The 14,656-nt window shown below is 47.3% G+C and overlaps 2 protein-coding genes across 2 annotated transcripts, besides 2 other annotated features; one reads left to right on the forward strand and one right to left on the reverse strand.

Moving 5' to 3' along the window:
• Positions 1-1,332: 1,332 nt before the first annotated feature.
• DPPA5 (developmental pluripotency associated 5) lies at positions 1,333-2,546 on the reverse strand. The gene is made up of 3 exons (NM_001025290.3): positions 2,384-2,546; positions 2,123-2,302; positions 1,333-1,648 (listed from the first exon to the last, which is right to left on the reverse strand). Exons 1-3 carry the CDS (start codon positions 2,493-2,495, stop codon positions 1,590-1,592), a joined length of 351 nt encoding a protein of 116 aa, NP_001020461.1. The 5' UTR covers positions 2,496-2,546; the 3' UTR covers positions 1,333-1,589.
• Positions 1,598-2,099: an enhancer, noted in NCBI's record as "H3K27ac hESC enhancer chr6:74063051-74063552 (GRCh37/hg19 assembly coordinates)". NCBI's record gives its function as "activates a minimal SCP1, AML or CMV promoter by ChIP-STARR-seq in naive H9 embryonic stem cells {active_cell/tissue: H9 hESC(naive)}" and the evidence as "EXISTENCE:reporter gene assay evidence [ECO:0000049][PMID:30033119]".
• Positions 2,100-2,599: an enhancer, noted in NCBI's record as "H3K27ac hESC enhancer chr6:74063553-74064052 (GRCh37/hg19 assembly coordinates)". NCBI's record gives its function as "activates a minimal SCP1, AML or CMV promoter by ChIP-STARR-seq in naive H9 embryonic stem cells {active_cell/tissue: H9 hESC(naive)}" and the evidence as "EXISTENCE:reporter gene assay evidence [ECO:0000049][PMID:30033119]".
• On the forward strand, positions 10,928-12,441 carry KHDC3L (KH domain containing 3 like, subcortical maternal complex member). The gene is made up of 3 exons (NM_001017361.3): positions 10,928-11,168; positions 11,365-11,544; positions 11,826-12,441. Exons 1-3 carry the CDS (start codon positions 11,000-11,002, stop codon positions 12,128-12,130), a joined length of 654 nt encoding a protein of 217 aa, NP_001017361.1. The 5' UTR covers positions 10,928-10,999; the 3' UTR covers positions 12,131-12,441.

Here is a 14,656-nt window from a genome sequence, read left to right on the forward strand (position 1 = left end):
ATGCCAAATGTGCCTTTGTCTTCTCAGGGACCCACAAGTGGTATGGCATCTAATGGTCCCAGAAACTGCACCCAGGACTTCCAGGGGGTAGAAAAACAATGCATTTACAAGACTTTCATGGCCCTCCCTCTGAGTCTTCAATGATGAGAACCTTAGAGGATAGGACTGGAAGCTGGAGTCCCTCCTCCCTCAGAACCTGTAATACAGGAGTCTACTCCAGTCCTGCAGTAGAGGAAGAGTAGCCTATTATTCATACATTCAAGAAATAATGCCCATTGTGTCAGACATTGTTTTAATACTTCGCAGATTTAGGACATAGTCTTATCTCATTTAATCCTCACTGCAACCCAATGAGGTAGATATAATTATCCCCATATTACAGGTGGAGAACTGAAGCACAAAGGCTAACATATGCCTGGTTCCCCAGCTAATAAGTAGCTGAGTTAAGATTCAAACCCAGGTATTCTAGCTGCTGTCCGTTTCTTACAACACTATCCTTAACCACTATGTACTATACCATATTGCCCCTCTTAAGAACAACAAAAAAATCAATGTCCCTGCCTTGTTGGGGTTTAAATCTTAGGAGTAGAGAGGAGGAAAATGACCAGTTAACACTATCGGTCGAGTTTATAAATGCCATAAAGAAAAAATAAAGCAGGTTAAGCAGACTGTAGAGGAGAGGATCTCCCCTGAGTATGGACCACCTGGGAGAAGAGAGCAAAACCCTTTGAAAATCTGAGATTTTGGCCAGTCACGGTGGCTCACACCTGTAATCCCAGCTACTCACCCATAATCCCAGCTACTCACCCATAATCCCAGCTACTCGGGAGGCTGAGGCAGGAGAATTGCTTGAAAGGGGTGGGGGCGGGGGAGGGGGGTCGAGGAGGTTGCAGTGAGCCAAGATCGCTCCATTGCACTCCAGCCTGGGTGACAAGAGAAAAACTCGTCTCCAAAAAAAAAAAGAAAAGAAAAGAAAACAAACAAAAAACACACACAAAACATGCTACACTAACAATGGTTCTGACTTCCCATATTTTTGTTGGACACATTTGCTTTTCAGCTTATATACAAAATGTCAACCTATTATAGGGTTGTTTTCAAGTGAGTCCAGGTCACTTGAGACAATCATCACATCTCCCATAGGTTTTTAGTTCAGTGCTGCATCTCAGGACCCTGGCTCCTCCACCCTTTTTGACACTAGCCAAGTGTGCCTTTGGACCCTCATTTTGTCTTTGGAGGATTTCAATTAAGGGTTAAGCTCAGGGCCACACTTCAGCTGTGCTTCAGAGATATTTAAGGTAGTACCTACAATCCATCAACCACACTGAACTATCAACTTATTTAAAACTTTATTGTTATTTTTAAAAATGGGAAAAAAGAAAAAACACTTTTTATTAACAATCATCAAAGAAATATTCACAACAAGACTCAGAGCCAAGGGTTTTCCCTTAACTCTTTAAGGGAACAAATGGTTTTCCCTTAACTCTTTAGGCTGGAGCAGATTTTAAAACAAGCTTAAGGAATCACTCTAGCTCTGGCCACAACCTAATCTCTGCAACCCGGCTTCATTGCATTGGCTGGAAACTGGTTCACTTCATCCAAGGGCCTAGTTCGAGGGCATTCATGGCTTCGGCAAGTTTGAGCATCCCTGCACCAGAAATAGCAACAGCGGCGTGAGTCTGGGGGAAAATAGTAAGCGCCCGGACTGTTCTCCGCCTCTTTCAGGGTTCGTTTCTGGGACTTCTGATCCAGGCGTTCTGGGCCTGAGAGTCAGGCCCAGAACCTTGGAACCCGAGACTACTCGGCCCATTCGAACATTCTCCAAGAAACTGAAGGGGGCGGGGAGACGGTTGAGATAGCTCAGATAACCCTGCCCAGTGGGTCCAGCACCAGCCGCCTTTCACCATAGTCTCACCCCTGGGTCTCCAAGACCGACGGCCGGCATTCTGGGGCCCCCATTCCCAAAGGGGTCTTGGGAAGGCCCAGATGCCAAGGGCACCCCTGGTGACGCCCAAGGTGCTGGCAGCGAGCAAGAGAGGAGAAAGAGGAGAGGGCTGGAGGAGAGGCGCGAAGCGGCCCCCGCGAGCCTGTGTTCCGCGTACCCAGTCTCTGGGCCTCTCACCTCGCTCCTGGCGCTGGCGGTGCCACTCAGCCATGGACTGGAGCATCCACTTGGTCCGGAGCTTGTACAAATAGGAGCCGTAAACCACGACCTCGGTGAGGTCTGAAGACTCCAGAGCCTTCAGCTCGAGCATGGCCTTGCTCACCTGCTCGATGTAAGGGATTCGAGATCCGTCCGGGCCTGTTGGGGAAAAGAGATGAGATCCCCGGGCCGGCTGAGACTCCCGAGCCGGGGCAGCCCGCCAGTACTGGGCACACTCACCGAAAATGGCTTTCAGCAGCCGCGTCTGGACCTGGAACACCTCTGGATCTTTCAGGTCTTCGGGAACTTTCACCCACGGCGGGATATGTCTACGTGCCGGGAGAGTTCCCATCTTATGACCCTCACAACCAAGACCACTCTCCAGCGCAAACCAGGCCTAATCACGCCGGCCGAGGCTCAGGGGCGATAAAGCCTCGCACCTGGTGGCCCCGCCCCCGGCCAGGCCCCGCCCCCGGCCCGGGCCAGGACCCTGAGTCCATGCCCCGCCGCCCTGGCTGCGGTCCAGCAGGTTGCCAACTCTTCCGCTTCCCGCGACTTCGGGAGAGCCTCACCCGGGCCCAGCTGTCTCCAAGTTAACTAGGGTTTCCACCTGCATTGACCTGTGTCTTTCGCACCAGAATCCCATGGGCTTGGGAATGGCTGGGGGCAAGGTGCTCTTGCCTCTTCCTCTAGGGAACAACCGGTGGGACCTGAACCTCGGAAAGCGGGCGTCCAGGCTTGAGGGTGCGAGGACCACCCAGTAGCTGCCGAATCGAGTTCCTGCCTCACACGTTCCAAAGAAGGGTCCGTATCCCCTCGGCCTTAAGGAGCAGGACCCGCGGCTCCACTTTGCTGGCGACCCGGACAACGTCCCGGGAACTCTGGAGGAACTCTTGCCATTGAACAAAAGAGAAAACCGAAATTCGGAAACTGATTATCTTACCTAAAGGGATTAGCGTTCTTCGAAGCCCCTGGCTCTAGAGTCTTTGAACCTACCCGGATTATAAAGCTCACCTGTGCCCTGCCTGCGCACTCCAGCCAAAACCGGTCCAGGCTTCTGGCTCCTCTGTAAATAAATTTGGTTTATTCGTTTTTTAAACATAGTGTTTGGAGCGATGCACTGGAGTCACTCGATGAGAGTGTGATTTCACTGTTTTATGGCTTTACAGATGGTGATTAAGCTGGCATTTCCAGTCCTGGTAACATCTAATGTCCCCTCAGCTGTCCATTATTGAGGGTTTCTTAAGGCAGACCTCTTCACACACACACGCACGCACACACACACACACGCACGCACACACACACACAATGGGTTCTTTTGCAACCACCAGTGTAGTTAATTTAGAAAATGATCATCAATAGCTAAAACTATCAGATGAAGACTGTTGAGGAACTAGATAGTCACAAGTTTGGAAGCCCTAGGCACAGATTATGAATTGCAAAGGAGAAAAAAACATTCCTTTACAGTAGAGACTTGGAAGAAGCCACCTTGACCCAAGTTAGCATCACCAATAATGGGACAAATGGATTTCTGGTTCAATATCTGAAAAACAAAAAGAGGACTGTTTTATTAATTGACTAAGACACTAAATGCTGTGTGCATAGTTCAAATAATTCTGAATCAAAGATGGGGGATGCATTTCAGGACAATGAAGGAAATTTTAATATGCCCTATATTTCAAAGTAGTATTAGAAACTTCTAAAGTTTAGAACTTCTAGAGTGGGATAAGTGTACTACAGTTATGTAAGATAAGGTCATTATTCTCAGGAGAAACATGCTAAAGTATGTAGAGTGAATTGGGTTTCTTTGTTTTTATTTTTATTATTTTTTAAATTAAATTTAAATTTTTTGAGACAGAGTCTCACTCTATTGCTCAGGCTGGAGTGCAGTGGCGCGATCTCTGCTCACTGCAACCTCCACCTCCCGGGTTCAAGCGGTTCTGCTTCAGCCTCCCCAGTAGCTGGGATTACAGGTGCCAGCTACCATGCCCGGCTAATTTTTGTATTTTTAGTAGAGACAGGGTTTCATCATGTTGACCAGGCTGGTCTCGAACTCGAACTCCTGACCTCAAGTGATCTGCCCACCTCGGCCCCCCAAACTGCTGGGATTACAGGCATGAGCCACCACACCTGGCCAAATAATCAAATATATATATATGGAGTCTTGCTCTGTCACCCAGGCTGGAGTACAGGGCACAATCTTAGCTCACTGCAACCTCTGCCTCCCGGGTTCAAACAATTCTCCTGCTTCAGCTTCCTGAGTAGCTGGGATTACAGGCACCCCCCACCACATTGGCTAATTTTTGTATTTTTAGTAGAGATGGAGTTGCACCATGTTGGCCAGGCTGGTCTCGAACTCCTGACCTCCTGATCTGCCTGCCTCAGCCTCCCAAAGTGCTGGGATTACAGGTGTGAGTCACTACACCCAGTCATAATAAACTTTCAATTTCCCATCTCCCATTCCACCTGCAGCCCAAGCTCCCTTTTTCCTGTGACCCAGACTCTTATGAAAAGCAACCCTCACTTCTATTTCTGTATACCTTACTTATTCCTAAACATGTTATTCCATGGTACCTTCCTTTGCATTTCAAGAAAAGTCACTCCGGACCTGCACTGTCCAATACAAAAGTCACTAGTCACATGAGGACTGGAAATGTGTCTAGTCTGATTTGAGATATGCTGTAAGTGTAAGCTACATGTAAAATTTTGATGACATTAATACCAAAAATTTAAATATTCTCATTAATAATTTTAGACTGATTATATGTTAAAATTATAATATTTTGGTTTTTCCTTTTCTTAAATTTTTTTTCAGTTAAGACAGGGTCTTGTTGGCTGGACGGGGTGGCTCATGCCTGTAATCCCAGCACTTTGAGAGGCCAAGGCTGACGGATCATCTGACCTCAGGGGTTCAAGACTAGCCTGGGCAACATGATGAAACCCCGTATCTACAAAAAAGACAAAAATTAGCCAGTTGTGGGGGTGCATGCTTGTAGTCCTAGCTAATGGGGAGACTGAGCCACAAGGAACTGCTTGAGCCCAGGAGGTGGAGGTTGCAGTGAGACAAGATTGCGCTATTGCACTCTAGCCTGGGTGACAGAGTGAGATCCTGTCTCAAAAAAAAAAAAAAACAGGGTCTCGTTATGTTGCCCAGGCTGGTCTCAAACTCCTGCTCAAACTCCTGCACTCAAGGGATCCGCCCACCTCAGCTTCCCAAAGTGCTGGGATTACAGGCACAAGCCACTGTGCCCAGCCAAAATGATAATATTTTGGATATATTAAAGTAAATAAGATATAATATTCAAATTCATTTCACATGTTTTTTTCTACCGAGGCTATGAGAAAGTTAGTATTATTTGTCTCTCATTCTATTTCAGTTGGACAATGTTGCTCTAGATGGTTTCCTAAGATATAATATTCAAATTCATTTCACATGTTTTTTTCTACCGAGGCTATGAGAAAGTTAGTATTATTTGTCTCTCATTCTATTTCAGTTGGACAGTGTTGCTCTAGATGGTTTCCTACAACTTTCTAAGTATCTAATCCAAAACTCTTTTATATGTACATAATTCATCATGCCTAGCTAATTTTTTTTTATTTTATTATATTTTTTAGACAGAGTTTCGCTCTTGTTGCCCAGGCTGGAGTGCAATGGCACGATCTCAGCTCACTGCAACCTCTGCCTCCCGGGTTCAAGTGATTCTCCTGCCTGAGTAGCTGGGATTACAGGCATGTACCACACACCCAGCAAATTTTATATTTTTAATAGAGATGGGGTTTCTCCATGTTGGTCAGGCTGCTCTCGAACTCCCGACCTTGCCAAGGAAAGAACTCTTGCCAAGGAAAATGGGATTGAGAAATGCTGCATGTGGGAAACTTGAGCCTGTCCTTGCATTTATCCCATGTGATCCTGGATAAAATCCACTCTCCCTCCTCCACAGCATGTTGAATGTGTCATCTTCCTCTCCAGTTGGGTTCTACCTGGTCCCTAGGGATGCCTGCCTTGCCCTCAGTCTACTTCGATCTGAGCTCGGTTTCTGTTGTTCAAAATGGTGGTTTCTCCAATACACCTCAACATCTTGGAAAGGGGGATTTTTGCTAGGATACTGAAGGCCGGAATTTCAGTGCAGCTATGAGCCAACATTTGGAAAGTTAAACCTTGAAGACTTGAGTTATTTCAACAAATTATTTGAAGAAAAAGTTTTATTTATTTATTTATTTATTTATTTATTTATTTGTTTGTTTTTGAGACAATGTCTCACTTTGTTATCCAGGTTGAGTACAGTGTGGTGATCTCGGCTCACTGCAGCTTTGGCCTCCCTGGTTCAAGCGATTCTTCCACCTCAGTCTTCCAAGTAGCTGAGACCACAGGCATGCGCCACCATGCATGACTAATTTTTTAGTTTTTATGGAGATAGGCTCTCCCTATATTGCCCAGGCTGGTCTAGAACTCCTAGCCTCAAGCAATCGTCCAGCCTCAGCCTCCCAAAGTGCTGGGATTGCAGGTGTGAGCCACCACGCCCAGCCCTGGAGAAAATTTTTATAACCAAATGTTAAAGATCACTTCTGCTGTAGGTCTGGGTTGCAGCAAGTGTCTTAGAGGACATCTGGCCATTGCATGGGCTCTGCTTGCCACCCATCGGTACTTGCATTTCCAAATAATGACTTTTTAGAAAGGTGGAACACTTAAAAGCATATGCATTGCTTTTAAAAGCATATGCATTGCTTTTATCCAAAATTAATGTCAATGTTTATCATATTATAATGTTAGCAACAAGGCTGGTGAGTATATAGGTTGGTTCGACCTCGGAGGGATGCCATTTGGCAATACCTTATCAATTGGAAATTTACAGATCCTTTGACTCAGCAATTCTACATTTGAAATTTCATCCTATAGTTATACTCCCCCTTGTAAGAAATGACATGTAGAAGGATACTGATTTCAATAGCATTACTAGCACAAGTAAAAGATACCATACAAGGTAAATATTCACGAAGATTGGGAAAAAATACATATTAAAGAAATAAGGCTGGGTTCCGTGGCTCATGCCTGTAATCCCAACACTTTGGGAGGCTAAGGTGGGAGAATCGCTTGAGCCCAGGAGTTCGAGACCATCCTGGGCATATAGTGGCCATGTTGCAGGCACTGAGACATGATGAAACCCCATCTCTATTAAAAATACAAAAATTAGCTGGGCTTGGTGGCGGATGCCTGTAATCCCAGCTACTCGGGAGGCTGAGGCATGAGAATCGCTTGAACCCAGGAGGTGGAGGTTGCAGTGAGCCGATATTGCACCACTGCACTCCGGCCTGTTGACACAGCGAGACTCCATCTCAAAAAAAAAAAGACAAAAACAAAAACAAAAAAAGACCAGCCTGTCCTAAAAAAAAAAATTAAAACAAATTAGTTGTGATGGCACATGCCCGTGATCTTAGCTACTTAGGAAGCTGAGGTGGGAAGATCACTTGAACCCAGAAGTTGGAGGCTGCTGTGAACTATGATGGGTCACTGCACGCTAGCCTGGGTGACGGAGTGAGATGCTGTCTCATCAAAAATAAATAAATAAATAAATCCATTATCAATATCTAGAAAAACAAAACTTTGTCAAGAAAAGAAATCATAGTATATACAACTATGAATAGTTTACAAAGTCGTAATAGTGCGAACACTGAATATTGATCTAACAAAATCATATCTCTGTTTTAAGATGATCTAGGTCTGATGCACATAGTTAAGTCCCAGCTTACCTGGGTTGGAAGAGGGTGAAAGATAGTGGTAGATATATAAATCCTAGCCTCCCAAAGTACTAGGATTACAGGCTTGAGCCACCGTGCCCCGTCGTTTTTTGTTTTTTTTTTTTTTGTTTGTGTGTGTGTGTTTTCTTTTTTCTTTTTCTTTTTCTTTTTTTGTTGAGAGGGAGTCTCGCACCGTCGCCCAGGATGGAGTGCAATGGCGCAGTCTGGGCACATCGCAACCTCCGCCTCCCAGGTTCAAGCGATTCTCCTGCCTCAGCCTGTCGAGTACCTGGGATTACAGGCGCCAGCCACCACGGCCAGCTAATTTTTGTGTTGTTAGTAGAAAGGGATTTCGCCATGTTAGTCAGGCTGCTCTCAAACTCCTGACCTCGTGATCCGCCTACCTCGGCCTCCCAAAGTGCTGGGATTATAGGTGTGAGCCACTGTGCCCGGACTTCTACGTCGTTTTTTGACATTTTTTATTTCTTTTTTTTTTTTTTCCGAGACAGAGTCTTGCTCTGTCCTCCAGGCTGGAGTGCAATGGCACGATCTTGGCTCACTGCAACCTCTGCCTCCCGGGTTCAAGCAATTCTCCTGCCTCAGTCTCCCGAGTAGCTGGGATTACAGGCCCCTGCCACCACATCTCGCTAATTTTTGTATTTTTAGTAGAGATGGGGTTTCACCATGTTGGCCAGGCTGGTCTTGAACTCCTAACCTCAGGTGATACGCCCGCCTTGGCCTCCCAAATTGCTGGGATTACATGTGTAAGCCACCACGCCCGGCCTGTTTTTTGACTTTTTTTTTTTTTTTTGAGACGGAGTCTCACTCTGTCACCCAGGCTGGCGAGCAGTGGCTCAATCTCAGCTCACTGCAACCTCCACCCTCTAAGTTCAAGCAATTCTCCCGCCTCAGTCTCCCAAGTAGCTGGGATTACAGGCACCTGCCACTGCGCCCGGCTAATTTTTGTATTTTTAGTACAGATGGGGTTTCACCATGTTGGCCAGGCTGGTCTTTAACTCCTGACCTTGTGATCCACCCGTCTCAGCCTCCCAAAGTGCTGGGATTACAGGCATGAGCCACCATGCCCGCCCTGTTTTTTGAGTTTTTAATAAAAGTCATTGTGACTGGTGTATGATGGTATATCGGTGTGATTTTAATTTGCATTCCTCTTCTGATTAGTGATGCGGAGCATTTTTTCATGTGTTTGTAGGCTGCCTGTATTTCTTCTTTTGAGAAATATCTCTTCATGCTCCTTGCCCAGTTTTGTTTGTTTGTTTTGTGGAGACAGTCTCGCTCTATCCAGCAGGCTGCAGTTCAGTAGCCTGATATCGGCTCATTGCAACCTCCGCCTCAGGAGTTCAAGCGATTCTCATGCCTCAGCTTCCTGAGTAGCTGGGATTACAGGTGCCCGTCACCATGCCCGGCTAATTTTTGTATTTTTAATAGAGACAGGATTTCGCCATGTTGGCCAGGCTGGTCTAGAACTCCTGGCGTGAGCCACTGTGCCCGGCTTTGCCCCATTTTTAATGGTTTTTTTTTTTCTTGTTGTTTTGCAAAGTACTTTAATCATCTCAATTAGCAAGTAAGAATTTCCCAACTACTAAATCATTCCTACATATGAAATATATTCAGCCGGTTGGGCATGGTCTGAATATATACATTCGGCCTATTAATGTGGCAAACCTGAAGTTCTCTTCAGTGTTTCAATACTGAATAAAAATAAATTATAAATTATAATTTGTCTTATAGCAACACATCTAAAACAGTTATTATTATTATTATTTTTGAGACAGGGTCTCACTCTGTCACCCAGGGGGGAGTGCAGAGGCACCATCACTGCTTACTGTAGACTCAGCCTCTCTGGGATCAAGGGATTGTCCCACCTCAGCCTTCCGAGTAGCTGGGACTACAGGTGCGTGCCACCTAGTCCAGCTAATTTTTGTATTTTTTGTAGGGATAGGGTTTTATCATTTTGCCCAGGCCAGAAGGATTGCTTGAGACCAGCTTGGGCAACATAACGAACCCTTGTCAGAAAGGGAAGGGGAAAAGAAAGGAAAGGAAAAGGGAAAGGAAAAAAGAAAGGAAGGAAGAAAGAGACAAATATAATTGTGTTATTTAGAGAACAGAGGCATCACTGGGCATGGTGTCGGGAGCTTGTAGTCCCAGCTACTGGGGGAGCTGAGGAGGGAGGATCTCTTGAGCCCAGGAGATGGAGGCTGCAGTGAGCTATAATCACACCACCGCCCCCTAGCCTGGGTGACACAGAGAGACCCTGCAGCAAATTTTAAAAATTAAAAATAAAAAAGAGAATAGAGATGTCAAAAATTTTCAAGGAATCTCATCTTGTGTCCAAACCACGAGAACTATCTGTGGTTAGGTGTGTTCATGGCTGCATTAATTAAAAGCGTGCTATAGTCCCACTACTGGGGAGGCTAAAGAGGGAGGATTTTTTTGAGCCCTGGAGTTCGAAGCCAACCTGGGCAACATAGCCAGGCCCCATAACTTTTTTTCTATCCATTTTTTTTTTTTACTATGCAAATCTCACTACACAGACCCTATAACAGAAAAAAAAAAGAAAAAGAAAGAAAAAAGGCGGGCGCTTATTCTGCTCTGTACTCAGCAGTCTCAGGCAAGTGACAGAATAATCTGAAAACCTGGTCCAGAGGGAGGAAACGTAGTGGCCAGGGATCAGAAGCGCGTGAGGGACCTATGAAGTATTCATTCTGCAAGTATTAGTTCTTTCCTCTGGGAGAGATACTGGGCTTGCCCACGCCTTCCTGAGTCCATGGTTAAGACTCCCGCTGGGCACCAGCGGATTCCTGGTGCCCAGAGCCCGGTTCCTCCTACCGGGTGCGCTGGGAAAAGGGCTGCTCCTGACAGAAGGGACACTCTAAGAGCAGCCCAGGAACCGGTGCACTTGGGCGGCCTCGGAAGAAGCCGGGGCTCCTGGAGGCGGAGGCGAGGCCTGGGACCCAATAAGAAGGGCGCGGCTAGAGAGGAGGGGCTGGCCAAAAGCCCTTGAAATAAGGCCCAGGCAGAACCGCGGTTCTAGTCTCCCAGCTCCAGCTCGGCCTTTGGGTTTGCTGTGGTGTCCTTGTCTCCTGCAGGACCGGCCGCAGCATGGACGCTCCCAGGCGGTTTCCGACGCTCGTGCAACTGATGCAGCCAAAAGCAATGCCAGTGGAGGTGCTCGGTCACCTCCCTAAGCGGTTCTCCTGGTTCCACTCTGAGTTCCTGAAGAATCCGAAGGTAGTTCGCCTTGAGGTTTGGCTGGTGGAAAAGATCTTCGGTGAGTGGACCAAGAAGGGGCAGCCCCCATGCGGCTTCTTTCTGCCACCCATACCCACAGCCCACATATTCTGGCTGCGTTCCAGGGCGATCCTCACCAGTAGCCAATGCCCTCTGGCTGTCTCCTCCTTCCACCTTCCCCTCCCAAGACCCCCGGGAGCCACCGGTCCCTCACAGCCTCTCTGCTACCCGCGCAGGCCGGGGCGGAGAACGCATCCCGCACGTCCAGGGTATGTCCCAAATCTTGATTCACGTGAATCGATTGGACCCTAACGGCGAGGCTGAGATCTTGGTATTTGGGAGGCCTTCTTACCAGGAGGACACAATCAAGATGATCATGAACCTGGCTGACTATCACCGCCAGCTCCAGGCGAAAGGTACGGGGCTGGGAATAGGGCTACCTGGAGCAAACCCTGGCTCCGTAGGAGTGATCCTGGGGTTTCCTGGCTGCTGGGGCGGCAGTCTCGCCCTCCCAGTCGGCCTGCGGTTGGTGGGTGGGGGAGGGGGCGGTTCTCGCTGCCACGGATCCAGAAGGCCAAATTGAACCCTCGTTCTGGGATTTCTGGCTCCTACTCCCGCAGGCCGCTTGGGTGACTGTCCTTTTTTGGAGAGGATATAGAGACACAGCTGTGGCCTCTGCACACTGCTCTTCTTCCAGGCTCAGGAAAGGCCCTCGCCCAGGATGTCGCCACTCAGAAGGCCGAGACCCAGCGGTCTTCAATAGAAGTCCGGGAGGCCGGGACGCAGCGTTCGGTGGAGGTCCGGGAGGCCGGGACCCAGCGTTCGGTGGAAGTCCAGGAGGTCGGGACACAGGGTTCTCCGGTGGAGGTGCAGGAGGCCGGGACCCAGCAGTCTCTCCAGGCTGCCAACAAGTCGGGGACCCAGCGATCCCCCGAAGCTGCCAGCAAGGCAGTGACCCAGCGGTTTCGCGAGGATGCCCGGGACCCAGTTACTAGATTATGAAGGCATCTCAGGCCCTGGAGCCAGAGCCAGTCAGGGGTTAAAGTGAAAGCCCGTATTTCCGCCCAGAAGCTGGGGTTGGGGAGAGGATGTGGATTTTTTGTTTTACCCTTTCTGTTGCATGGTTGCAAACACAAACTTGAGTTCTAATAAAGAATTGCAAAGTGGAAGCCCGCCCCCCGCCTCCCCCCCGCCTCACTTAAGTCCAGGAAGCTGGGGTGGCGAGGAAGGATGATGTGGATTGTTTTTGTTTTACACCTTCTGTTGAATGGTTGCCAACACAAACTTGAGTTCTAATAAATAATTGCATTTCCCTAACGTCTGTATTTTGGAAGGTAGAGGGGAGGGAAAGGCGCATTCCTCCAACAGCCCAGTTCTGCCCTGCGCAGCCCTCTACCTCGAGGCAGGTGGGGCCTGTGGTTCCTAGCCGCCCGAGGTGGCCATCTTCCCCGGCTGTGGTCCGGTGTGCCCCTTGTACTCCTTAACCGCGCGCATCTGGCTTTAACAGGTGAGAAGCCTCTCTGGCCCACTAGGAAATCTCTCCAAGCCCGCTGTCGTTCTACTCAAGGTGACTTGGGATGAGAAAACTGGGTCGCTTGGGGGCCAGCTGGATTTGGAAGGCCCTGGGTGTATTGCTACTCTGTCACAGAACACTTTCTCAGCTGGGGAAAATGACATCGGGGAAGGGGGAAACGAAGAGACCCGAGCTGCACTCTTGGGCTGCACTGTTGCAGTCTTCAGGTCTTGCTTGGGTCACCCACCTTCCACGAAGGTCGTGGACACCAGCAAGATACAGGCATCGGCTACTCTTTCCTCAGTTACTATGGCAGCGAGAAGCCCCAGCAGAGAACACTTTGGCTTCCCTAGGGTCACAGCTTTGGTCAGGGCGCTGGGATGCAGGTCCCTGAGCCTGCGAATTAATCTAGAAGGATGCAAGCCAACAGCTGGGTGCTAGGATTAAACAATAGCACGCAGTAATTCTATAATTAGGATTTTTTTTTTTTTTTTTTTTTTTTTTAACCAACCAAGAATCACTGGTAATCTTCATTTTATTTTGGAGACAGAATCTCTCTCTGTGGCCCAGGCTGGAGTGCAACGGCTCGATCTCGCCTCAACACAACCTCTGCCTCCTGGGTTCAAACGATTCTCCTGCCTCAGCCTCCCGAGTAGCTGGGACTACAGGCCCGCGCCACCACGCCCAGCTAATTTTTGTGTTTTTAGTAGAGAAGGGGCTTCACTATGTTGGCCAGGCTGATCTGACTTCAGGTGATCCACCCGCCTGGGTCTCCGAAAGTGCTGGGATTACAGGCATGAGCCACCACGCCCGGCCAATCACTAGTAATTTTTAAAAGTTCAAAGCTAACTTTAAATATAAGGTGAATGTCTATCAGACTCTTTTTGTCACCGCTAATTATCACTCCAGTTTAAAATAATCATGTATCTTACAATAAGGGAATTACCACATAAAGCTGAATTTACAATAACTTATTAGCAACTTTTAACCGCTAATCATTTTATTAAAATAGTTGACTAATTTTAGAAGAACTTTAGAACACTTTAAATTCAAAATCAACACAAAATCAGTTTCAAATGAGGCTACATCAGAGCAGAGCTAAAACTTAATGTGTATGTTGTCTTTCTCTGTGTAATACCCACCTTACCAGAATGTCAGGTTCTCTCCTTTACAAGCTGTTTTCACTGTCCTTGCCCAAACTCAGTGTTACCAATCTATTTTATGTTCATGTGTAACTTTTCTACTTTTTCTGATATCTACCCCCATTTTAATTAAGTAGCTTTATAGACTGTTTTAATATTTAAGAGGGCAAGTCTACTCTTTTTTTTTTTTTTTTTTTTTTGAGATGGAGTCTCACTCTGTCACCCAGGCTGGAATGCAACGGCATTCCACTGCAACCTCCACCTCCTGGGTTTAAGCAATTCTCCTGCCTCAGCCTCCCGAGCAGCTGGAATTACAGGCGCCCACCACCACACCTGGCTGATTTTTTTTATTTGTAGTAGAGACTGGGTTTCACTATGTTGGCCAGGCTGGTCAACACCTGTCTCAGCCTCCCAAAGTGCTGGGAATACAGGCCTGAGCCACCATGTCCGGCCCTCACAACCTTTTCAACTCATATCCAAAATATCTATGAACATCTTTCCCGGAACTGACACTTTAAGTTTCACCTATTCATATGGCTGCTTCTTTCTCTAAACACCCAGTAAATGGAAACTCTATATCATGCTGGAATTATAGATGCCATCAAGCCAAGCCAGCTGCCCAGCATGGAGGAACAGGAGAGGTTGCCCTATGCCAAGAGTCTTGAGAGTCAAAGATTTCAAATATTGCCCAAATATAGTCATATTCTGAGGTACTGGGGATTAGGACTTCAATATATGTTAATGTGTACAAAGGATGGAAGGAGTTTAGGATCATACAGTATTTTTGGAAAAATTAGAATAAGTTTTAAGCTTACCCCTTTTTCCCCAATAACAAAATATTTAATGGGCCAGGTGCAGTGGCTTATGCCTGTA

The sequence above is a fragment of the Homo sapiens genome, chromosome 6 (genome assembly GCF_000001405.40).
Source record: "Homo sapiens chromosome 6, GRCh38.p14 Primary Assembly".
NCBI lineage: Eukaryota > Metazoa > Chordata > Mammalia > Primates > Hominidae > Homo > Homo sapiens.

What these genes read in the sequence shown, in the direction of transcription:
- DPPA5 (NM_001025290.3), bottom strand. Translation starts at nt 2,495, where the DNA reads ATGGGAACTCTCCCGGCACGTAGACATATCCCGCCGTGGGTGAAAGTT. An exon ending in GCTGCTGAAAGCCATTTTCG is followed by an intron (nt 2,303 to 2,383) that starts GTGAGTGTGCCC and finishes TTTCCCCAACAG; the next exon opens with GCCCGGACGGATCTCGAATC. An exon ending in CCGCCAGCGCCAGGAGCGAG is followed by an intron (nt 1,649 to 2,122) that starts GTGAGAGGCCCA and finishes TTTCTGGTGCAG; the next exon opens with GGATGCTCAAACTTGCCGAA.
- KHDC3L (NM_001017361.3), top strand. Translation starts at nt 11,000, where the DNA reads ATGGACGCTCCCAGGCGGTTTCCGACGCTCGTGCAACTGATGCAGCCA. An exon ending in GCTGGTGGAAAAGATCTTCG is followed by an intron (nt 11,169 to 11,364) that starts GTGAGTGGACCA and finishes CTACCCGCGCAG; the next exon opens with GCCGGGGCGGAGAACGCATC. An exon ending in CCGCCAGCTCCAGGCGAAAG is followed by an intron (nt 11,545 to 11,825) that starts GTACGGGGCTGG and finishes CTCTTCTTCCAG; the next exon opens with GCTCAGGAAAGGCCCTCGCC.